At 41.3% G+C, this 24,516-nt stretch overlaps 2 protein-coding genes across 5 annotated transcripts, besides 8 other annotated features; one reads left to right on the top strand and one right to left on the bottom strand.

Moving 5' to 3' along the window:
* On the bottom strand, nt 1,760–18,490 carry SPRTN (SprT-like N-terminal domain). 4 transcript variants are annotated; one of them, NM_032018.7, is made up of 5 exons: nt 18,179–18,490; nt 16,915–17,014; nt 8,858–8,986; nt 5,212–5,479; nt 1,760–4,173 (listed from the first exon to the last, which is right to left on the bottom strand). In NM_032018.7, the coding sequence occupies exons 1-5, from the start codon at nt 18,397–18,399 to the stop codon at nt 3,422–3,424; spliced, it is 1,470 nt and encodes a 489-aa protein (NP_114407.3). In that variant the 5' UTR covers nt 18,400–18,490; the 3' UTR covers nt 1,760–3,421. The 4 variants fall into 4 exon arrangements, with proteins under 4 accessions (NP_114407.3, NP_001010984.1, XP_006711881.1 ...); NM_001010984.4 differs by having other exon boundaries at nt 1,760–5,479; XM_006711818.4 differs by lacking the exon at nt 8,858–8,986.
* Nucleotides 17,004–17,878: an enhancer, noted in NCBI's record as "NANOG-H3K27ac-H3K4me1 hESC enhancer chr1:231474651-231475525 (GRCh37/hg19 assembly coordinates)". NCBI's record gives its function as "activates a minimal SCP1, AML or CMV promoter by ChIP-STARR-seq in naive H9 embryonic stem cells {active_cell/tissue: H9 hESC(naive)}" and the evidence as "EXISTENCE:reporter gene assay evidence [ECO:0000049][PMID:30033119]".
* Nucleotides 17,206–17,255: a silencer, noted in NCBI's record as "silent region_1951". NCBI's record gives its function as "represses an Ori minimal core promoter by ATAC-STARR-seq in GM12878 lymphoblastoid cells {active_cell/tissue: GM12878}" and the evidence as "EXISTENCE:reporter gene assay evidence [ECO:0000049][PMID:35858748]".
* Nucleotides 17,879–18,753: an enhancer, noted in NCBI's record as "OCT4-NANOG-H3K27ac-H3K4me1 hESC enhancer chr1:231473776-231474650 (GRCh37/hg19 assembly coordinates)". NCBI's record gives its function as "activates a minimal SCP1, AML or CMV promoter by ChIP-STARR-seq in naive H9 embryonic stem cells {active_cell/tissue: H9 hESC(naive)}" and the evidence as "EXISTENCE:reporter gene assay evidence [ECO:0000049][PMID:30033119]".
* Nucleotides 18,277–18,476: an enhancer, noted in NCBI's record as "active region_2728". NCBI's record gives its function as "activates an Ori minimal core promoter by ATAC-STARR-seq in GM12878 lymphoblastoid cells {active_cell/tissue: GM12878}" and the evidence as "EXISTENCE:reporter gene assay evidence [ECO:0000049][PMID:35858748]".
* Nucleotides 18,754–19,629: an enhancer, noted in NCBI's record as "OCT4-NANOG-H3K27ac-H3K4me1 hESC enhancer chr1:231472900-231473775 (GRCh37/hg19 assembly coordinates)". NCBI's record gives its function as "activates a minimal SCP1, AML or CMV promoter by ChIP-STARR-seq in primed H9 embryonic stem cells {active_cell/tissue: H9 hESC(primed)}" and the evidence as "EXISTENCE:reporter gene assay evidence [ECO:0000049][PMID:30033119]".
* On the top strand, nt 18,931–24,030 carry EXOC8 (exocyst complex component 8). Its single transcript, NM_175876.5, has one exon. The coding sequence runs from the start codon at nt 19,038–19,040 to the stop codon at nt 21,213–21,215; it is 2,178 nt and encodes a 725-aa protein (NP_787072.2). The 5' UTR covers nt 18,931–19,037; the 3' UTR covers nt 21,216–24,030.
* Nucleotides 19,057–19,116: an enhancer, noted in NCBI's record as "active region_2727". NCBI's record gives its function as "activates an Ori minimal core promoter by ATAC-STARR-seq in GM12878 lymphoblastoid cells {active_cell/tissue: GM12878}" and the evidence as "EXISTENCE:reporter gene assay evidence [ECO:0000049][PMID:35858748]".
* Nucleotides 19,157–19,206: an enhancer, noted in NCBI's record as "active region_2726". NCBI's record gives its function as "activates an Ori minimal core promoter by ATAC-STARR-seq in GM12878 lymphoblastoid cells {active_cell/tissue: GM12878}" and the evidence as "EXISTENCE:reporter gene assay evidence [ECO:0000049][PMID:35858748]".
* Nucleotides 19,327–19,496: a silencer, noted in NCBI's record as "silent region_1950". NCBI's record gives its function as "represses an Ori minimal core promoter by ATAC-STARR-seq in GM12878 lymphoblastoid cells {active_cell/tissue: GM12878}" and the evidence as "EXISTENCE:reporter gene assay evidence [ECO:0000049][PMID:35858748]".

The following is a 24,516-nucleotide window of genomic DNA, read 5'->3' as shown; positions in this document are numbered from 1 at the left end:
GGATTACAGGCGTGAGCCACCATGCCCAGTGCAATTTTTTTTTTTTTTTGGCACAGTTTCGCTCTTTTTGCCCAGGCTGGAGTGCAATGGCACAATCTCGGCTCACTGCAACCTCCGCTACCCAGCTTCAAGCGATTCTTCTGTCTCAGCCTCCCGAGTAGCTGGAATTACAGGCACTTGCCACCACGCCCGGCTAATTTTTTGTATTTTTAGTAGAGACGGGGTTTCACCACGTTGGCCAGGATGGTCTCGATCTCTTGACCTCGTGATCCGCCCACCTCGGCCTCCCAAAGTGCTGGGATTACAGGCGTAAGCCACCACGCCCGGCTGCCCAGCACAATTTTCTAAAGTAAAAATTAAGGCTAGGTAACATATAACACTGACCTTAAAATAAACACTGTTTTCGCAGGGCATGGTGGCTCACGCCTGTAATCCCAGCACTTTGGGAGACCGAGGGCAGACAGATCACTTGAGGTTAGGAGTTTGAGACCAGTCTGGCCAACAAGGTGAAACCCCCATCTCTACTAAAAATACAAAAATTAGCCAGGTGTGGTGGCGCTCGCCTTTAATCCCAGCTACTTGGGAGGCTGAGGCAGGAGAATTGCTTGAACCCCGGAGGCGGAGGTTGCAGTGAGCCGAGATTGTGCCACTGCACTCCAGCCTGGGCCACAGAGCAAGATTCCATCTCAAAAAACAAAACAAAAACCCAAAACCCACCGTTTTATAAAAACAGAATCTAGACCCCATGTCCCCACAGCAGGGGGATAGCATTTAAGGATTGAGCCAGAATTACCAGCTCTGCTTCTAAGTTGGGAAGTTGGCTTTAAAAGGGAAAATCTAAACAGAAACAAAACTATGTCTCTATTATGAATGACATATTTGGGGGAATATCAGAATTTTTAGGGTGCAAATTTTCTCAAGTGTTTAACAGATGTAGTAAGGCTTATTTCAAATTGAGTTCCATTTTCTCAACTATTTCCATCATTCCCTAGAACCTGAAACCAACTCCTGACTTTACTACCTGTTTCTCAAAAAATTGTCTCTTCCTCTCCCTCCCTGCCACTACCCTTCCCCCTCTTATCTATGCTGTCCCCAGAAAAATCCATTGGAAACACTTCTCAACATGTCCTCGACTGGCTTATAAGCCTTTCCAAGCCCCACCTTAATTAAGAGATGCTTATTAGCAGGTATCACACAAACCAGACATAAAGTGAGGAACATGAGATCCCTGGCCTCAAACTTGTACTACTTAGCTAGATCTGTCCTATCTGCCATCTCTCCTTTGGCCATTTTGCCCCTCACATTTTACTCTATTCACTTGGAATAGCATTCAGTTCCCTCGGAACATGACTTTGTGTTCCTTCTTCCCTTTGAAAGGTTCTTCCCCACCCTTCTTTAACCAGGCTAACTCGACTCACTCTACATGATTCAACTTTGGATGTTGTCTCCTCCAAGAAACATCCCCCGAAGTCCTGGGCAGAGCTAATTTTTCTTCCTACAGTTTACCCACAGCACCCAGCAAAAACCCTTGTCATAGCACTTAGCAAACTCTAAGGAGATTAATGTGCATTTGTCTTACTCCCCAACTATGCTGTAAAGCTCCTTGAGGACATGGACCATCTCAGCTACTTCACAGCCCCAGAACCTTGTGTGGTTTTGGCTCAGGAAGCATTTAATTACACATAATTTGTTACATTCATTTAGAGAAATGATCCTCTATGAAAATATAACTATATATTGAACATAATATACATTTTAATACCTATTTATAAGTATTTATTAAAATGTTTTAATGCTTTAAGGAATATCAAAATTTGTGAACAGCCAACCAGTCTAAAACGAAAAGGGCTGCTAACAGTGTTATGAATGGTGAACAACTAAAACTCTCATACATTGCTGGTAGGAGTGTAAACTGGCAGAATTTACTAAAGCTAAACAGAAATATACCCCGTGACTCAGCAATTCCATTCCTGTATATATACCCAACAGAAAAGATAAGAATGTTCTTAGCAGCATTATGCTTAACAGCCCCAAACTGGAAATAATTCAAATGTCCATTAACATTAGAATGGATGAATAAATTCTAGTATATTCATACAAATGCAAGAGCAATGAAAATGAACTCCTGCTATACATAGGAACAAAGATACTACATTATAAAATTAAAAAATAATCTGCGACGATGGGGTGAAAACAGTGGGGACCTCTGGAGGTGGTGAGGGTCATGGGTATCAACTGGGAACAGACACCTATAGGAAGCCTTCTGTGGCAATGGAAGTGTTCTCTAACTTGATCCGGGTGGTAGTTACACAGGTGAACACTGTAAAAGTTTACCCAGCTGTGCACTTAAGATTTGTGCACCTGTATTACAACAAAGTGAAGGAAAATTGCAACAAGAAAAAAGAAAACTTGTGAACAACTGTGTTAGGGCTATGCCAACAGCATGTACAGCCACAAGACAAAAAGCAAACTGATAAAAGTCTCTTTGTCCTTTCCCTATAACATGGAAAATATTTTTTTTAAAAAAGATTACTTAAAATGCACAAATGGTATTCCTTTTATTATAATGTTTTAAACTTGGCTTAAAGTTCAAAATACTATTTCCAGATAACTTTCCACTGTTACATCAACTAGGCAACTTTGTTATGTTTATGTTATATGTATCAGTTACTTATCAGCACAGAATTTTAACCACTCTGCTAAATTTTGAGAAAACAGCTAAACTCAATATAAAATTTGGCCTACAGAATTATAGTGGCTATTTGTTACTAAAAATATTCCAAAAGAAATTTACTTATTTTACTATATTCCATATTCTTTAACTTAAAATCTGCTGCCACTGTTTAGTAAAAGTGGGACAAATAAAATTCTTTAAAATATAGAAAATACAGTTCCTGTTAAGATTTTGCAAACAAAAAAATTAATAAATAATACAATTTGAGTACTCTAAAACAATATACTTTGTAGTCTAGATTGTGGTTTTGGTCAGTATGTCTGACACTATGAAGATTTACATCAGTTCAGGGAATGAGTTCTAATACTATTAATAAATAGTCAATATAACCAAACACCTGACAGGATTCCCCATATGAATATTTTTAGGAAAGTATACAAATAAAAAGATTAACAGGTTTTTAAAATCCTTAAGAGCAAGAAAGAACAAAAGTATCTAAAACTTATACACGACAGGCAGAACCTGGGTTACAGTATACCTAAGGCAAGAGTGAATGTAGCACCCTGAGACACAAAACATCTTAAAATTACAATCTTATATGCGTATATATAAAATAGGACACTTTCTATTGGTTATGTGAACTAGATTATAACCTACAAATCTTAGTATTAACCAGAACTTCCTGACTGGCTGACATAGCACATTAGTGAGATAATACAGGTGGTACTTGAGACTTTGAAACCTTTTTCAAAGACTTTCTTCGCTTTTGACTTTGATGCTGTCACCTTCAAGGCACCAGTCCAAGTGCTCATTAATCTGAGACTCCAGAACTTCATTCTGACAAACTGGGCAATTAACCATTTTGCTCTGACTGGATGAACTGCTGGAATTCTGAGCTGTGGTTGTACTATACTTTGGATCATTACCACTGCTTTTTATTTGCTCTTTCTTGATAAAAAAATTGTCAAAAACAGTCTTATCTTCTAGCCTAGGTCGTTTATTTGGGAATGTATCTTCAGACCCACTCACATCCTGGGATGGCATCACAGATGCTGATTCCGTTACTTTTGAAGAATTTCTTAGGGATATCTTAGAAGATGAAACCCTTCTCTGAGAACTAGAAGAGACTGAGTTTTTAGGGATGTTGCCAACTGTTACACTTATCCTTGGAGATCCATTCACACCTCTGAAAGCCTTTTGGTTGGCAAATGATACTCTAGGAAAGTAGTTGCTTAGAACATTTTGGTGACTGTTACTAACAGCAGGGGAGACCAGATGAGAATTTTTACTTGAACCATTCTGTTCAAATTTCACCTTGATTTTAGAATTAGGTCTTACAGCATTTGCTGAATGGTTTTGATTTAAAAGATCTTGGGTTTTATTAATGGCATGTGAAGTGATCAGTTTCCCAGGTGAAGGTAAATTGCTTGTTTCTCCTAGAACATATCCTTTCCCACTAAAAGGGATTACTAGCTGGGCCTCACCTCTGTTGGGTTTATCTGCCAAAAAAGCAAAGAAGATTGTTATGTAAGTGCCTCAACTCAAAAGAAATACAGTAACAAACATTAAACTAATGTACAGTTTTCTCAAAATGAAGAACTAGTATTTTATTCCATCTTACATCCATACAATCCTATTAATGGGAGGAGGGCAATCTTCAGAATTCAGGAGTTCTGATATTGAGAGAATATAAAGGATAAAAAAAAATTCTCTCATATTTAAATAAAGAATCTTATCATGCCAAAGACCAACAACAAGGCAACATTTACCTTGAAAATTGCTTAGTGTCCTTTATGTGTAATTCCAGGAGGGAAAATCTGCTGCCTCATTCTTATCTTTCCTTCTACTCACGAAAATGAAGATACGGTCTTTCCATATCAATTCATCTATAGCTCTTTCACTCAATAATTAAAGATTTGGGAAATATAACCTATGTTCTTGGGTCAACAACTTCCCAAGGGAAGAAGCATCTTCAGTAACTCTGAACTTCACAGGAAAAGGGTAAATCTTGAAGATGAAGTACTGGCAAATATATGTCATATCCTTTTCCCATTCTTTGAATGAACATACATACATCAATAGAGTCACTTGGATAGAATCCAGCTGATAGGAAGGGGTGTAGTTAGGACGTATATTCCGGGCATTGTTACTTGAATTATTGTTTTTATTTTGACAATCTTTTTGCCTTCTGTTTCCTAATAACTCAGTGAGTCAAGATAGGGAAAGGAACTTTACCTCAAATATTATCAGAGATTGAATTTTGTTTCTTTGAATAAAAAGAAACTGAAAAAAGTTAATAAAAATAAAAATATCCATGGAAACTATTCCTACTTTTACTTACTTCTGTACAGAGCAAAGTCTGTTTTCCTACCATCATTTCATGGACAGTGGGATTTTTTCCTTAAGTCTACACTTGAAGACTTCTACACCAGAAACGATCCTTAAGTTTATCTTAATACCAGTTCTCTGAAGGACAGTATTGTCTTTACATCATAGCTATGGTCACATAAAAATCAGAAGAATATACACGAAGGTACCTTTATTCTCTGCGGCCAATACTGGTTCCTTTCCTAGTTTTGCCTTTCCTTTGCCTTTTTTTGAGTAATTCTCTGGTTCCTTGATTTTTATGTAAGTGCCTCCACAGGTTTTCTGGTGCTCAGCCCACCAATAGTCATGAGCAGAGGGTTCCCTGTTAGTAGCTCGTTTGACATAGCCGTAATACGGTGGCCTGTGCTGGCACGGCCCATTGCAGCGCCACCAGTGTCGCCGATACTCATCCACCTCATCGTGAAAAGTATGGTATACCTGAGTGGAGACAGAATTTTTAGTATTCAATAAGCAAGTTAACAACTGCAAGAAAACAATTTACATAAGCAGTCTTTTTTTTTTTTTTTTTTTTTTTTAATTTTTGAAACTTTCCCAGAGCTTTCTGAAAAGTTCTATTTTAGGAGAGAAAGCAACTATATTTAGTTTCTGTTCAAAAGTTGATTTTAATGGGAAACAGCAGCAGTTAATACTTCATAAACTGTGTAAAGATAGATGCACATGGGATTAGAGGACAAAAAAATCTTTTAAAAACAAAACCACAGAAAATCTTCATGAACACTAAAAGTTTCAGAAATCAAATTTGTAAATGATCAAAAATTAGGATAAAGATAAGATTTTATGTAATACCATACTAAAATAAGAATCATTCCCACTGCTAAATTGAAGTTTTCCCTATAAGTAAAAATAGCAAAGGGTTCTAAAGGACTACATTACTCCCTATAAATGCCTGACTGACGCTAACAACACAAGTATCTTACCCAGTGAAGCTTCTGCTAAGCTCACTCTCCACATTCTCCAAGTTCTGTGCTTATGTCTCTGTAATAAGCCTTATGAGGTACCATTTTATCTGTTTATAAATATTTCTATTACCAGACTGAAAAGTTCTCCAGGATCTGAATGTTTTAATTTTTTGTGTCCCTAGTGGCTAATATAGTGCTTTTGGCACCAAGAAGGTGCTCAGTCAGAAAAGCATCATTCATTGAGTCAAATAAAATTCTCTGAAGTGTGCTTTTCAGGCCTTAAGTAGGATGCCTTCTTTTTCACCCTCTAGACAAAAATCCTATTTGGAACCCAAGCAGAAAACAGGTAAGGGAAAAGACCTGACTGAAAAGAGGGTCAGCCCTCCCAGCATGGTGGCACTGAAGACTATAGAGCACCATTTGAAATGACTCCTAAATGACTATGGGCACCTTATTCTTCTGCCTTCTCAGTGGAACTCTCTGTGTAAGAGTGAGAAGCATCTGTATGTAAGATTTTGGTGTTTTACCAAAGACATTTAGCTTTCTAATAAATTCCCCTTGTGGGAAAGAATGCTAAGCTTTCTATAACTCTATAGATAGTTTTAAACTCACTATCGCTCCATCCTAAGCAAAAAATTTCTACTTGGTAAGCATGCAAAGAATGCACATTATATTAAATGCAGAAGGGACTGAAGGACATAGGTTTTAAGGCAAAGAAGCACGGGAAACCACGCACTCTATTATGTTCAGAACTCTTAATTCATTACCCAAAAAGAGAGACAAATGGATCTGTTTTGTTTGTTTGTTCTGTGACATGGACTTGCTCTGTTTGCCCAGGCTGGAGTGAGGTGGCATGAACCTGGCTCACTGCAACCTCCGCCTCCCAGGCTCAAGTGATCCTTCCACCTCTGCCTCTCGAGTAGCCGCGAATACAGGCGTGAGCTACCACGATTAGCTAATTTTTGAATTTTTTTTGTGGAAACAAGGTCTCACTAAATTGCCCAGGCTGATCTCAAACACCTGGGCTCAAGTTACCCTCCCACTTCGGCCTCCCAAAGTGCTGGGATTACAGGCGTGAGCCACCACACCCAGCCTGGATCTGTTCTGCTTCCAATTCCTGTAACTCCTAACGCTTGGGAATGTGACTTTTAACAATGTAGTCACTAAAATAAAATTACTCTACAATGTAGATACCCTGCAGAGTTCCTTATAACAGGATGTAACCTGTAAAAGCAAGGAGTGTTCACTCCTTACAACCTCTCCTAAATAAAAACACACAGATATCTAAGATAAAAGAACAGATACTCTTCCAGCTGAACAATGGGACGTATACAAGGGCTTTGCTTAAAGTATAAGTTCTGGTTAAGAAACTTAATGTATTTTATACAAGCAAGTCTATAATTCTCTTGCTAACCCGGATTTTATGTCTGATTTTTTTAAAAACTGCAAGACACTTTCCTAATGTTGAAGTAACTGTGTCTAATAATGAAATGAAGTCTTTAGAAAATTAAAACTGATAGCTAGAAAATAGTAATACATGGAGAGGCCAGGCATGGTAGCTCATGTCTATAATCCCACCACTTTGGGAGGCTGAGATGGGAGGATCACTTGAACCCATGAGTTCAAGACCAGCCTGGGCAACATGGTGAGACCCTGTCTCTAAAAAAAAAAATTTTTTTTTAAATTAGCTTGACATGGTGGCACACATCTGTAGCCCCAGCTACTCAGGAGGCTGAGGTGGGAGGATCACTTAAGCCCAGGAGGTTGAATCTGCAGTGGGCTATGAATGCACCACTGCATCCAGCCTGGGCAACAGAGCAAGACCCTATCTTAAATAAATAAATAAACAAAACATGGCGGTTGAGCACTGTTCATTTTCTATCACAGTGGATTTTGTTGCCTTTTAAAGGAAGGAAATACCCAAACATAAGAAAGAATTTAATCTATCCTATTAATATTCAATTCAGTACATTATACACCTTATACAGATGTACTATAAAGATGGGCAAGACCTACCCTGCGTTCAAAAGTATGAAAGTAGCATAAAAAATTGTAATAGCTTAAATATCTGCTGAGGATTCAAAAGAGGGAGAAATGAGATGCCACTGGAACGATGAAAAGCATTCGGACACAAAACAGAGCAGTGGCACGCCTCAGGGAAGCTACACCTGAGGAAAGGCAGGGAGGTCAAAAGTGCAGTTAAAGAGACAGGACACAGGCAGCAGAGTTGGAGGCAGTAAAAAAGGAACAAGGTTATTTAATAAAATGAATACAATAAAACTAATATTTAATTAGTGTCAGATTGGGCTAAAATGTTTTGATGTGCTTTCTCCTTTAATCCTTTCTCCTCACAAGGATCCAACAGATAGGTATTGTTACTACTCTCATTTGCCATGGGTATAAAATGAGGCATAGGAAAGTTAATAATTGGTGGAGCCAGGATTTGAATCCAAGCAGCCTGACGCCTCCAGCTTTTTGAACCTGAGGCTTTGCTATCTCCTACAATGCTATACAGAGATATGAATCAAAGAAGAATTCTGATGAGGGAATGACATCTGCAATGGTAGCAGGATACAGGATGGACTAAAAAAGACAATAATAAGGAAACAAAGTTAAGAGATCATGATGATTCCAGAAGTGACGTACTGCAGGCCTGAATTACCTGTGTGTAAAATGTTGACTCAGAAGAGGTCAGAGGCCTCAGGGATATCACTGGCTCTGCTGCCATTCCACCATGTAGTCCCAGACAAGCCAATTTGCTTCTCTAGGCCTCTCGTTCGCTGTGGAAAATCCTCAAAGATACTTGTTTCTACCTAGTTCTCTACTTTTAATTAAATCTCAGGAGTTATTGAATAAACAACTACTAAACATCATAAATAGATATGGCTTTCTATACCGTTATATTGGCTCCAGTCAGGCTGTTGATGCGATGCATATGTTTACAAAATTCTGGACCATGCCCTTCTCGGTCTTTGTCGTTATTAGTGACAAATAAATAGGCATGTATCATTTCATGCAGGAGGGTCTGGAACATAAAATATTCAAATTAGTTTTAGAGTCTGTATGACACTTTGGAAAATATAAATTTTCTTATTCTATCTGGTGTCTAACCTTTTCTGTATCACAGGCTTCCTTCAGAACTGATAAAACTCATTCTAGGCCGGGTGCAGTGGCTCACACCTGTAATCCCAACACTTTGGGAGGCAAAGGTGGGAGGGTCACTTGAGCCCAGGGGTTGGAGACCAACCTGGGCAACATGGCGAAACCCTGTCTCTACAAAAAAATACAAAAATTAGCCAGGTGTGGTGGTGCATGCCTGTAATCCCAGCTACACTCAGGAGGCTGAGGTGGGAGGATCCTCTGAGCCTGGGGAGGTTGACGCTGCAGTGAGCTGTGATTGTGCCACTGCACTCCAGCCTGGGGGACAGAATGAGACACTGTCTCACAAAAACAAAACAACAACAACAAAAAACCCACCTCATTCTATAAAAATTATATAAGCACTCATTCACAAAATATTGCATATGAGTTGAGCATCCCAACTCTGAAAATCCAAAATGCTCCAAAATCAGAAACTCTTGAGCAATGACATGACACTCAAAAGGAAATGCTCATTGGAGCATTGCGGATTTTCAGATTTGGGATGCTCCACCTGTAAGAATAACACAAATATTCCAAAATCCAAATAAATCTGAAATCCAAGACACTTCTAGTCCCAGGCATTTCAGAGAAGGGGTACTCAAATTTGTGTAACATCTAAAGCTCTGAAAATCACAGGTTAAGAACTCCCTGTTCTAGGAAGACCTTTTTGACTATATATCAAAATCCAGAAAAATCAATGAATTCAACTACATAAAAACTTTAAAATTCTTTTTTTTTTGAGACAGGGTCTTACTCTGTTGCCCAGGCTGGAGTGCAGTGGCTCAATCTCTCCTCACTGCAAGCTCTGCCTCCTCGGTCCAAGTGATTCTCGTGCCTCAGCCTCCTGAGTAGCTGGCACTACAGGTGTGCACCACCATGCCTGGCTAATTTTTGTATTTTAGTAGAGATGGGGTTTGGCCATATTGGCAAGGATGGTCTTAAACTCCTGACCTCAAGCAATCTGCCCGCCTCAGCCTCCCAAAGTGCTGGGATTATAGGCGTCAGCCACTGCACCCAGACAAAACTTTAAAATTCTATAGGAAAAAAACACCAAGTAAAAAGACAAACTCAGAAAAATATATGTATAACTCTTATCACAGGCTATTCCTAATATACAAGGAGCTCCTAATGTCAACAGGGAATGACAACCCAATTTCAAAATGGGCAAAGACCATGGAGTTCACAGAAGAAGTATAAATGACCCACAAACAAATGAAAAAACGCCCAACTTCCGGATCACGAGGTCAGGACATTGAGACCATCCTGCTCAACATGGTGAAACCCTGTCTCTACTAAAATACAAAAAAAAAAAAAAAAAATTTTGGCTGGGCATAGTTGCGCCCGCCTGTAGTCCGAGCAGTATACTCAGGAGGCTGAGGCAGGGGAATTGCTTGAACCTGGGAGGCAGAGGTTGCAGTGAGCCGAGAATGCACCACTGCACTCCAGCCTGATGACAGACCAAGACTCCATCTCAAAAAAAAAAAAAAAAAAAAAAAAGAAAAGAAAAGAAAAAATGCCCAACTTTATTTATAAAAAGAGAAATGCGAATTAATACTACACTAGGATGGTCAGGCGTGGTGGCTCATGTCTGTAATCCCAGCACTTTGGGAGGCTGAGGTGGGAGGATTGCTCGAGGCCAGGAGTTCAAAACCAGCCTGGTCAACATAGTGAGACCTTGTCTCTACAAAAAAATAAAAATAAAAATAAAACAATTAGCTTGTGCATCTGTAGTCCTAGCTACTCAGGAGGCGGAGATGGGAGGATCACTTGAGGCCATGAATTCAAGGTTGCAGTGAGCTATGATTACCTCCAGCCTGGACAACCCAGCAAGACCCTGTCTCAAAAAACAAAAAACCCCCACAAAAACCCAACACTACACTAGGATGTTATTTATTGCTTATCAAGATTGGTAAAACTCCTAAAGTTTGACACCATTAGTAAAGCTAAGGGAAAATAAACATTCCTATATACTGCTGGTGGGAGTGCAATTCTCCTATGGAAAATTTGGTAGCATCTAACAAAATTACAAATGCATTTGTCTTCTGAGAGAGCAATACCTAGACTAGCATGCAAGGTCATATGCACAAGGTGTATTCACTGTGACACTGCTTATAACAGCAAAAGATTAGAAATAACTCCAGTGTTTTATACATCCATATAATGGAATTCTATGCAGCCACAAAAAAGAATGAGAAGGATCTACATGAAATGGTTTGGAGAAAGCTATAGAGCGTATTAATGAAAAAGACAGGGGGCTGGGCACAGTGGCTCATGCCTGTAATCCCCGCACTTTGGGAGGCCGAGGCAGGTGGATCACCTGAGGTCAGGAGTTCAAGACCAGCCTGGCCCACATGGTAAAACCCCGTCTCTACTAAACACACAAAAATTAGCCAGGCATGGTGGCGGGCGCCTGTAATCCCAGCTACTCGGGAGGCTGAGGCAGAGGCAGGAGAATCACCTGAACCTGGGAGGCAGAGGTTGCAGTGAGCCGAGATCATGCCATTGCACTCCAGCCTGGGCAACAAAAAAAAAAGAAAGAAACAAAGAAAGAAAGAAAGAAAAGAAAAGAAAAGAAAAAGAAAAAGACAAAGTACAGAAGAATGTACATAGTATTTTGTGTAAGAAAAATTTTGTATGGTGGGGAGGAGGAATAAAAATGAATAGAAATATTTGCAAAACAGAAAAATGAAAAGAAACTAACAGCTCCTACAGCAAGTAAGGAGTTCAAGATAGAGGAGGACACTGAACAAGACATCTTTGTGTATAGCTTTCTACAGCTTTTGGGTTTTGATTCAGAAATCATGAAAACTTGAAACAAACACTAAAACCTACTGCTCATTCCACACCAAAGATGCACAAGTTTCTGTGCAAAATTAACAAAAGCATTTAAGATTGCTGGGGTTTTTGCTCTAAAAAATATAAATAATTTTTTTAAGCAAAAATCAGAAAGATCTTCAAAGACATACCTTTTTCATGATCCTCCATAATTTTTTTAAAAAACAATTTCCATCAGAAGAACTAGACTGTCATTAATGAATTTTAGTCTTATAAAATTATGCTGAACAGAAAAATGAGAGAATCAAACATTTTAACTTGGTCATTCATATATCCCTCTAAAAATTATCAACTGTATCTCTTAAAAGGAACTTTATTTATTTATCTTATTATTTCTCAGAGATGGGGTCTCACTTTTTCACCCAGACTGGAGTGCAGTGGCATGATTATATTTCACTGCAGCCTCAAATTCCTGGCATCAAGGGATCCCTCTATCTCATCCTCCTGAGCAGCTGGGATTACAGGCGCATGTCACCACACCTGGCTAATTTTTTTTCAATTTTTTGTAGAGACAAGGTCTCACCATCTTACCCAGACAGGTCAACTCCTGGGCTCAAGCAATCCATCTATCTGATTACGTGCATGAGCCACTGTACCCAGCCAGAACTTTATTTTTCAAGTAAATGCCGCTCAACGAAGAAGACTCAAATTCAAGAAAGGTACTGCAAAAGTTTCTCAATGTTCTAAATTAGAGCAATGATAAAGATCTATTCTCATAAAGGAGAAACAAATTTAGGTTCCTGATTTTTGGTTCAATTTAATTAAACATTAAAAAACATCTTGAAAATGGTACTGAACTTTTTAAATATCTATCATTTTCCATATTTAGTCTTAATTCAAGGATCTATACACAACACAGTCCCAAAATACCTCTGTTTTCCATGACTGTTCTATCGGGTTAAAATGAACTACCTCTAGTCCTAAATATGCCCCCAGTTGTCTGAACTCACTTTTGTTCACATTATTCCCATGCTTTCTGCCAAGAGTAGCCTCCTGTCCTATCTCTGCTTGTCAAAAGTACAATTCGTCCTTTAATGCTCACCTCTCCATGTTTTAATCGCAGGAGTGATGAGTTGAATGGTAAAGGGGACAGAACAAGAGCCTTAGAGTCAGGGAAACTGGAACCTAAACCCACAATCACAGCATGAGACCTGGGACAGGCTCCAAGTGGCTCCTCATCCCTAAAATGGGATATCCTCATTTTGCATGGCTGTGGTAAAGACGACGTTTAGTCCAAAGTCTGACACACAATAGGTGCTCAATAGTGAGCAGCAGGAGTGGTGATGGTAGTAACAAAATGTACAGTTATAAAGCTTTTCTTGACCTCCTCAACCAGATAAAGTCTGTTCCTTTTCTGAACCCCCTTCTCTATGATTTAGGTAACTACAGTTGTGCCTCACTTGGCAGGGATATGTTCTGAAAAATCCATTGTTAGGCAATTTTGTCATTGTGCAAACATCTTAAGAGTGTACTTACACAAACCTAAATGGTATAGCCTATGTAATATATATATATATATACACACACCTAGGCTATAGAGTATATATACCTAGGCTATAGAGTATATATACCTAGGCTATAGGGTATATATACCTAGGCTATAGAGTATATATACCTAGGCTATAGAGTGTATATACCTAGGCTATAGAGTATATATACCTAGGCTATAGAGTATAGCCTGCCGCTCCTAGGCAACGAACCTGCACAGGATGTTACTGTACTGAATGCTGTAGGCAAGTGCAACATAATGGTAAGTATTTGTGCAACTAAATATAAAGAAGAAAAAAGGTACAATAAAAATATAGTCTTGGCCAGGTGTGGTGGCTCACGCCTGTAATCCCAGCACTTTGGGAGGCTGAGTCGGGCGGATCACGAGGTCAGGAGATTGAGACCATCCTGGCTAACATGATGAAACCCCGTCTCTAGTAAAAAAAATACAAAAAATTGGCCTGGCATGGTGGCGGGTGCCTGTAGTCCCAGCTATGTGGGAGGCTGACGCAGGAGAATGGCCTGAACCCGGGAGGCGGAGCTTGCAGTGAGTGGAGATGCGCCACTGTACTCCAGCCTGGGCAACAGAGCGAGACTCCATCTCAAAAAAAAAATAAATAAATATAGTCCTGGCCGGGCATGGTGGCTCATACCTGTAATCCCATTCACTTTGGGAGGCTGAGGCAGAAGGATCACCTGGGGTCAGGAGTTTGAGACCAGCCAACATGGTGAAACCCCGCCTCTACTAAAAATACAAAAATCAGCCAGGCGTGGTGGCGCACACCTTTAATCGCAGCTACTTGGGAGGCTGAGGTAGGAGGATCCCTTGAACCAGGGAGGCGGAGGCTGCAGTGAGCCGAGATCATATCATTGCACTCCAGCCTGGGCAACAAGAGCAAAACTCCATCTCAAAAAACAAAAAATAAAAATAAATAAATAAATAAAAATATGGTCTTATAATCTTATGGGACCACTGTTATATATGGGGCCTGTCATTGACGAAAATGTCATTTTGTAACTTTCTGCCAACAGGAAATGCTCACTTGATACTATTATACATTCCCCATTCTCTTCTCACCCACTACTTAAAAACATTTTTTTCTCATGTGTTTATGTAATCATTTACCCAATACATATTCATTAAGCAACTCTTCCAGTTAGGGCTCCTTCTAAGGCTGATTTGGTTAATCATGCTGTTCAACTTTTTAAAATGTGTATTATTTTTTTCCGCTTATTCATTGGGTTACTAAGAAGGTTGTGTTAACATTCTTCAAGTATGAGTCTGGGTGTCTTGGCTGACACCTGTAATCCCAGCACTTTGGGAGGCTGAGGCGGGAGGATTGCTTGGGCCTGGGAGGTTGAGGCTGTAGTGAGACAGGGTCTTGCTCTGTCACCCCAGGCTGTAGTGCTGTGGTGTGATCTCGGCTCACTGTAACCTCCACCTCCCGAGTTCATGCGATTCTTGTGCGTCAGCCTCCTGAGTAGCTGGTACTACAGGCTGTGTCACCACACGCAGCTAATTTTTGTATTTTTAGTAGAGACGGGGTTTCACCATGTTGGTCAGGCTGGTCTCAAACTCCTGGCCTCAAGTGATCCGCCTGTCTCAGCTTCCCAAAGTGCTGGGATTATGGGCGTGAGCCACCGCACCCAGCCTGATTGTATATTCTTTTTGCTTCTGCTAATTTATGCCTCATAAAATTTAAAGTTATGTTATTACTTTTGGAGAGATTATGTATTGTTGCTTAATAGATTATTTTATTATTATAAAATATCCCACTTTTCCTCTAGTAAAACTTCTTCCCTTGAAGTCTTTAGTCTGATACTAATACTGGTTGAACATCCCTAATTTGACAATCCAAAATCTGAAATGCTCCAAAATCTAAAACTTTTTGAGCACTTACAAGATGATTAAAGGTTAAGTTCTAAGGAAATGCTCACTAAAGCCATTTCAGATTTGGGACTTTTGGATTAGGGAAGCTCAACCAGTAAGTATAATGCAAATATTCCAAAGTAAAAAAAAAAAAAATCTGAAACACTTCTGGTCCCACTTTGGATAATGAGTACTCAACCTTATAGCCACAATAGTTTTCTGCTTTTAAGTGTTTGGATGATTACTTTTCCTCATCCTTTTAAACTTAAAATAAGTGTGTCTTTACTGTAAGCATGTCTCTTTTAATCTAGCATGCCATTCCATGTATTTAATGGAGTGTTTAGTCCACTTACATTTAACTGATATTTTGTTTACACCTACCTTTCTCTTTATCATCTGAGCTCTGTTCTTTTTCATTAATCAAGTATTTCTACTGTACCACTTTACATTTAGTAGCTACTTTTTAAACAAACTGTGGTAAAAAAAATTAACAAAATTCCCCAACTTACCCATTTTTATGTGTACAGTTCAGTGTTGAGTATATTCACACTGTTATGTAATCCATTGCCTTTTATTATCCTTAAAAACAGCATCTCTCATCTCCAAGCATGTTTTAACATGCTTCCCACCCCATGCTCAGAAACTACCACTGTGCTCTTTTGTACAGATAATTCTTTCTTTTTTTTTTTGAGACAGAGTTTCGCTCTTGTTGCCCAGGCTGGAATGCAATGGTACGGTCTCGGCTCACTGCAACCTCCGCCTCCCGGGTTCAAGAGATCCTCCTGCCTCAGCTCCCACTGCTCCATTCTGCTAGCAGAAGTAAGTACCAGCTCTAAATGTGAAGCGTGCCCTCACACTGGTTTGTGCTGCCAGCTCAGCTAGGTGTCCTGAGAGCACAGCAGTGTTGCAGCCCAACTGAGGAGAATCAAAATTTGTGTTTCTCAACAGGAACATGTGGATCCTGTTTTCTCTGTTTCTAAATAAGTAACTTAAGCCAGTTACTTAACCTCTCTGAACCTTAATTTCTTTACTCATAAAAATGAAAACAGCAACACATGAACATAAACAGGGCTGTTGTAAAATCAAAACAGATAATATACCTAGAAGGCTTTTATTTTTTTGAGACAGAGTCTTGCTCTGTCACCCAGGCTGGAGTGCAGTGGCGCGATCTCGGCTCATTGCAAGCTCCGCCTCCTCAGTTCATGCCATTCTCCTGCCTCAGCCTCCCGAGTAGCTGGGACTACAGGCGCCGGCCACCACGCCCGGCTAATTTTCTGTATTTTTTTTTTTGTAGAGACGGGGTTTCACCGTGTTGGCTAGGATGTTTTTGATCTTCTGACCTCGTGATCCGCCCGCCTCGGCCTCCCAAAGTGTCGGGATTACAGGCGTGAGCCAGCGTGCCCGGCCCCTAGAAGCCTTTTTTTTGTTTTTTTTTTTTTTACTATGAAGCACTATAAAAAACATAAGGTGTTCATTATTGTTTGCCCCATAATTCAAGCTTTCACTGAGGGCAAAGTGACTTTTTTTAACGATACATACAGGCGAATTCACAGCAGTCTAAATCATTGACAAGTATTTGTAAATTACTGCGCTAGGAAGCAAGTTTACACGAAAAATACCTCTACAAGATCCTTTCTTGGCCTCAACTTCAAAAGGGGTTCGCTGAGACGGATGGAACACATTCCACCCTTCCCTTCATAGCTGCATATCCCAGCACACCTAGAAAACAATCACCATAAAAATGTGTTACATTGGCCAAATATGCCCAAGTCCTTACACATTCTTGGGCAGTTCACACTAACTCAGTTGGCAGATGGCTTTCATGAAAGTATACCCCCCTTGGTTAGCAGATACTTGCATTTCACCTAATTAATTAGTTACAACCCCCGCGGGCGCCTCCCGCGATGGCTCCGATCCCCGCCGGGCAAGGAAGGAAAGCAGCGTGCTCTCACCACCCTGCTTGAGAAGGTGGAAGGCTGCAGGCACCTGCTAGAGACGCCAGGACCGTACCTGGTGTACAACGGGGACCTAGTGGAATACGATGCGGACCACATGGCCCAACTGCAGCTCCCCTTGCCCTAGCTAGGCTGCAACAGCTCAAAGGCAATCCTATTCTGCTACTCCCAGTCTCCTTCCGACAAGTTACAGTTCGGTGTTATTAACAAGCAGATATCTCCAGTAGCATATCTCCAAAATCATAACAGACGCCTGTATAAAGGAAATTGGTACTTTAAACACAATTTAATATCATATCTTAATTTGTTTGACAGTAGGTTGTTTTCTATCAACTCAAAAACAAGCATGCTGGGATACAACTGTATCTTAAACTTAACCCTGTTCACGTGCAGGAGTAGATTATTATTTCAAATAGGGATTTCTGAAATTTAGCGTGTAGAAAAAGAATCGTTTTAAAAGCATCACTGAAGATCCCCAATGCAACACACGAGCTAACTAAAGTGGGTTTCCTAACGGGAATAGAGGAGGAGAACACACATCCTTTGGCAGTTACTCTGCGTCCTCAGCACTTTCTTAGGTGCAGATTTGGTTGCTTCTCCCTTCTGGGTCCTACAGCACTATCATAAGGCAAATCAGGAACTTGTTATTTTCAAGTGAAGTGAGATTCAAATAAAAATCTCTTTTTTGTTACGGCCCTGAGTCCAACCGTGGCGGTGTGGTCTACACAGCTTTCTTATTGTTCGAGTGGGAGAAAAGGTAAGGAAGACAGAAACACGCCGAGGCAGGAATTGCCAGGTCCAAAACCAGACTCCCCTCATTTAACGCCCCCTGGGACCGTCGGACTAGAGAAAGGAGAGAAAACCAGGGCCGGGGGCTGCAGGAAAGCTGCCAGTCCCGCCTCTTTCCCCAGCGGGGCTCGGAACTCACAGGGTCATTCGCACGCTCCACTTCACCTCGACGGCCTCCAGCTGGCCCCAGAAGAATTGGTCGTTAAACTGAACAAACAGTGCCTGCAAGTCCGGTGTGGGGTCCACCAACTCCCACGACGCGTCCACTAGCGACAGGGACTCCTGGGCATGATCGCGCTCCGCCTCCTGCAAGTTCCACTCCTCCTGAAGCCGCAGTGCCAACATCAAGTCATCATCCATCGTTGCCAGGATCACAGGCGGGGTCCGCCGGCGTCAGGCTGGCTCCCCAGTTACGCCGCGACCCCAAGCCGCCTAGCCGAGGACCAGGACTAGCTCCTAGGAGATGCCGGCTCTCGAGACGGCCCGTCAATCCCGCGAGAGTTCGCGGAAACGCGCTTGAGAACGAGAACGGAGCTTACCCCAAACGCCGAAGCCAAGATTCTAGGGCTTTAAAAAAAGCAGTCAGCATGACACCTCCTAGTGGGCGCAGAACCTGGGCTCACAGGGCTCGGGCCCTACGAAGCTTTCAGGAAGCTAGTTTCAGCCTTTACTCTTTGCCGGTTATTTCAAACCTCAACGTCACGCTCGGTTCATGCGCAGTACCGAAATTTCTCTCGGCCTCTCCCTCCCCTCACTTCCGCAATAGCTCATCTTGCGCATGCGCTTTAACCGATGGCATTGCTGCGCAGGCGCAATGTCTGCGCTCGGCCCACTTGCGCAGGCGCAGTGTCTGACGCTCAGACCCGGCGCAGGCGTACTCGTCTCGTTCCCATTCCTGCTTCCTCAGCCCAGGAGCTCGGTTGGCCTTGGGTGGGTCTAGACAGCCGCGGCGGCTGCGGCGCCGATAGTGACAGTGAGTGCGTGAGACCCGGAGAGAAATGGCGATGGCGATGTCGGACAGTGGGGCGAGCCGCCTGCGTCGGCAGCTGGAGTCAGGGGGTTTTGAGGCGCGGCTGTACGTGAAGCAGCTCTCGCAGCAGTCGGATGGGGACCGGGACCTCCAGGAGCACCGGCAGCGCATCCAGGCGCTGGCGGAGGAGACGGCGCAGAACCTGAAGCGCAACGTCTACCAGAACTACCGGCAGTTCATAGAGACGGCCCGCGAGATCTCCTACCTGGAGAGCGAGATGTACCAGCTCAGCCATTTGCTGACCGAGCAGAAAAGCAGCCTGGAGAGCATCCCGCTTACGTTGCTGCCTGCCGCTGCTGCCGCCGGAGCCGCCGCCGCCTCTGGAGGGGAGGAGGGAGTCGGTGGGGCGGGGGGCCGAGACCACCTCCGAGGCCAGGCCGGCTTTTTCTCCACCCCCGGGGGTGCCTCCCGCGACGGCTCCGGTCCAGGCGAGGAAGGAAAGCAGCGCACTCTCACCACCCTGCTTGAGAAGGTGGAAGGCTGCAGGCATCTGCTGGAGACGCCGGGACAGTACTTGGTGTACAATGGGGACCTAGTGGAATACGATGCGGACCACATGGCCCAACTGCAGCGGGTGCACGGCTTTCTCATGAACGATTGCTTGTTGGTGGCTACCTGGCTGCCTCAGCGGCGTGGGATGTATCGCTACAACGCTCTCTATTCCCTAGATGGTTTGGCCGTAGTCAATGTCAAGGACAACCCGCCCATGAAGGACATGTTCAAGCTGCTTATGTTCCCCGAGAGCCGTATTTTCCAGGCCGAAAATGCTAAAATCAAACGAGAGTGGCTGGAAGTGCTGGAGGACACCAAGAGGGCCCTCAGTGAGAAAAGGCGAAGGGAGCAGGAGGAGGCAGCGGCCCCTCGAGGGCCACCCCAAGTGACTTCCAAGGCCACTAACCCATTTGAGGATGACGAAGAAGAAGAACCAGCTGTTCCTGAGGTAGAGGAAGAGAAGGTGGACCTCTCCATGGAATGGATCCAGGAGTTACCTGAAGACCTGGATGTCTGCATTGCGCAGAGAGACTTTGAAGGGGCGGTTGACCTGCTGGATAAATTGAACCATTACCTGGAAGATAAACCTAGCCCACCTCCTGTAAAAGAACTAAGGGCCAAAGTGGAGGAGCGAGTTCGACAGCTCACTGAGGTGCTAGTTTTCGAACTCTCCCCAGATCGTTCCCTGAGAGGTGGTCCGAAGGCTACTCGCAGAGCAGTTTCGCAACTGATCCGGCTGGGCCAGTGCACGAAGGCCTGTGAGCTATTTTTGAGAAACAGGGCAGCCGCTGTTCATACTGCAATTCGTCAGCTTCGCATCGAAGGTGCCACTTTACTCTATATTCATAAGCTGTGCCATGTCTTCTTTACCAGCCTTCTCGAGACTGCAAGAGAATTTGAGATCGATTTTGCAGGCACTGACAGCGGCTGCTACTCTGCCTTTGTGGTCTGGGCAAGATCAGCCATGGGCATGTTCGTGGATGCTTTTAGCAAGCAGGTGTTTGATAGTAAGGAGAGCCTCTCTACAGCAGCTGAGTGTGTAAAAGTGGCTAAGGAGCATTGCCAGCAACTGGGTGATATCGGACTGGATCTCACCTTCATCATCCATGCCCTTCTGGTGAAAGACATCCAAGGGGCCTTGCACAGTTACAAAGAAATCATCATTGAAGCCACTAAACATCGCAACTCTGAAGAGATGTGGAGGAGGATGAACTTGATGACGCCAGAAGCCCTGGGTAAGCTCAAAGAAGAGATGAAAAGTTGTGGGGTAAGTAACTTTGAGCAGTACACAGGGGATGACTGCTGGGTGAACCTAAGTTACACAGTGGTTGCTTTCACCAAACAGACCATGGGCTTCTTGGAAGAGGCCCTGAAGCTGTATTTCCCAGAGCTGCACATGGTACTTTTGGAGAGCCTGGTGGAAATCATTTTGGTTGCTGTTCAGCATGTGGATTATAGTCTTCGATGTGAGCAGGATCCAGAGAAGAAAGCTTTTATCAGACAGAATGCATCCTTTTTATATGAAACAGTCCTCCCTGTGGTGGAGAAAAGGTTTGAAGAAGGTGTGGGGAAACCTGCCAAGCAACTCCAAGATCTGAGGAATGCATCTAGACTTATTCGTGTGAATCCTGAAAGTACAACATCAGTGGTCTAATGCTTGGGTCTGTTTATATGTGTATATATGCAGAGAGAGAGCTTATATATTATTTATATTTATATTAAGTTGTATTAGCATACTCTATAGTTTCAAACACAACTTGAAAATTAAAAGTGCCCTCTTAAAAATACAAAAATCAAAAAGAGGAAAATAAGTTAAATTAAGCCCAAGTAACAAAAATACTGGAATTATTAAAACGTATAGTATGCTAGCTATCCTTTTAAATTATGCTAATTCTCTTCTTCTGAAATTATGGTCACACTATATACTATAGCATTTCGGTTTTATCCTTTGATAAAACTTTTCTTTTTTCTTTTTTTTTTTTGAGACAGGGTCTCACCCCGTCGCACAGGCTGGAGTGCAGTGGCAAAGTCTCGACTCACTGCAGCCTTGACCTCCCGGGCCCAGGTAGTCCTCCCACCTCAGCCTCCCATGTAGCAGGAACCACAGGCAGGCACCACCATACCCAGCTAATTTTTGTATTTTTTGTAGAGATGGGGTTTCGCCATGTTGCCCAGGCTAGTCTTTTCTTTCTTCTTTTTTTTTTTCCCCACAGTATATATTATACAGCAGTCATAATATCTATAAATACATAGAGTTTATGTTGTGAAGTTTCCCAGTTCACTGAAATGTTAGGTTTCCTAAAGGGTACAGTGCCGTATAAAACAACCTGCCTCATATATTTCTCCTCAAAACGTTGGACTATTTGGGAAAAGGAAAAGAGTTGGGAAAATTGGTTTTAAGGTAAGTTTTAGTCAAAAGAATTCTTTCTTGAAACTAGCTGGTTTGTGGATTCAGATACTCTGATCCTTACAGAATCCAAGAGGAAGCTTTCATAAAAACAATTCAGCAAATATTTCCAATATAATTTGAATGGCTAATTTTCAGTTGCTAATTAATTAGCAGCTTTGTAATACTTGATTTGGGAGCATTTACTTGGAAATCCTAAGGACTATAATAAAAGTTTTCAACATATTTCTAAATTGTGTGAGTTTCCAGCTGTAGCTTTTGTCTTTGTCACATTTTAAAAAATAATAAGCAAGACACATTGGGGACACTGGCAGCAGTTGCCAGGTTTTAGCTGCCACCGCTTCAGTATGAGATATAGCTGTCCCATCTTCCCCCATTCAGGGTAGGAGATATAGTGACCCAGACTTCATGCAAATGGAAAAAAAGTTTTAACTGAAATATTTATTTAGATTTCAGGGTCTAGATGGATGGGAAAGTAGAAAAACATATGCAAATCTCAGTGTTCTCACTATGACCACTCTGAGCAGAGATTTGGTTTTGTTTCCTTTTGTAACAAAGTGAAAACAGGTGAGACAATGTGCCCAAAACAAAGGGAAGAAGAGAACCTTCTGTGACTCCTAAAATGTTCCATGCTGCATTTTTGTTTCATTTTTTATTTTTCCTTGCTTTGTTTTTAAACATGAATATAATGCTTACTTCAAATTGTTTAGTAAAACAAAATAACTAAAGAAATGTGAGCTTCCCAAGGTTTCTAAACTATCGCTGTTGTATATTCTATAGCGTTCCTTATTCTTTGAGGGAAACTGTGCTTGCTGTGATCCATTTTGTCTCTAGCTTCTAGTTGTGATTCTTGTCCATAAGCACCAAATTTGATGCCCATGATTTCAAAAGGTCATTTCTTTTATCTGAATGAAAATGGTGGTACTAAGACTGTGAAAATTATGTGAAACCTAAAGTAGTTGCCAAAGTGGCTCAGGGTTGTAAAATTCATTGACTTAATTATTCATGTGCCAGATCAACCCCTTTATTTTCTCTTTAGCTGTGCATATTTAAAATATTGGAAAGTATCAGATTTACAGATTTTCTTTGACTAATTTTTTTCACATAACTTTAGGATTTTCGAAAGTTGTAACCATAACTGGATATCTTAGCTGAGCAAAGGCGGTTATAATTTGTCTTTTTAAGATCACTGGAAATTGATAAAATTTTGTGATAATTATGATTATTCTGTGCCATTTACAGTTTCTAATACTATACTGTATGAAATATGTATAAATATATGATGCTGAGTCTGTGGAATGATACTTCTGAAATCAAAATTCCTCATAAGGCATGAAGTTGTAAAAACTTGAATGTGTATAGTTAGATATTTAAATGGTTGCTTCTTCATAGAATTGTCTGCTTTTTAAAACTGGAAGTACAGGATTTTCTTCAGGTAAAATCTGTGTGTTCCAATTACAGTTGTAGCTGAAGGAAGTATGCTTTGGTGAGTCAATTAGTATGGGAACTTGACTAAAGACCCCCAGTGTTGTAACGTACCTTTGTACCCAGACAAAACAATTATGTTACATTCCTCAAAGTGGCATGGGCTTTCTTCTCTAATTCTTCTGTTTTATTAGACCCAAGACAAGTTCTAAAAATTGAATGCAATGAGAGATTGTCCAGAAATGTAATATATACTAAAATATACCACTTAAGCATTGATTGCCTTTTCTTGTTTGCTTCAAGAATATAAAACTTGTTACTTGAGCTTGGAATCATGGGCTTGATTGAATTAATTACTCTTGGGGAAAAAAGACACCTTGTGGCATTAAGTCTTGCTTTGGTTAAAGCCTTATTTCACATAATTGCTAAAAACTCATTTTTGTTTAATATACTACCTATAGTTTAATTATCGGCACTTGTATTTTGTAACTTGATATCTTACCTAGGATTGGGAATTTGGGACATGACATGTACTATAAAAGTCAGTCTATGTACATACTGCTTATTGATGTGCTGTGATATGAGGGAATCTGAAATGTTTCATAAAAATAAAGCTTAAAAATTGTCTTACACTGGATAAAAGTGATATTAAGATATTATATCTATTGCTCTTCTTTAGTTGGTATTCAATATTTTTATATTCTTGTTACTGAAATATTCTTTGAAGACCCTAGTTTTTTGTTTTATTTATGTGGGGAGGATACTTAGGAAGCTGTTTGCTAAATTAAGTAAGTGTTCTGCTTACCGTCAGAATTGTGAATAAATCAGATCTCAATTTTTTAAAATTCCCTCGAATGGAAAATTTCAGAGGTACAAAATGTGAATTTATTATAAAAAAGTAGATTTTATACCATCTGCACATCTCTAAATAAAGAAAATAAAATGTAGGCCACAAGACCTAGGAACTAAATGACAAGGCTTGGCCTTTTTTTTTTTTTTTGAGACAGAGTCTTCCCATATCGCCCAAGCTGGAGTGCAGTGGCGTGATCTCTGCTCGCTACAATCTCTGCCTCCTGGGTTCAAGCCATTCTCCTGTCTCAGCCTCCTGAGTAGCTGGGATTAC

Source organism: Homo sapiens, chromosome 1, assembly GCF_000001405.40.
Source record: "Homo sapiens chromosome 1, GRCh38.p14 Primary Assembly".
Classification (NCBI taxonomy): domain Eukaryota; kingdom Metazoa; phylum Chordata; class Mammalia; order Primates; family Hominidae; genus Homo; species Homo sapiens.
The sequence above is the reverse complement of the archived record's forward strand: the minus strand, read 5'-3'. Positions and strand labels throughout refer to the sequence as shown.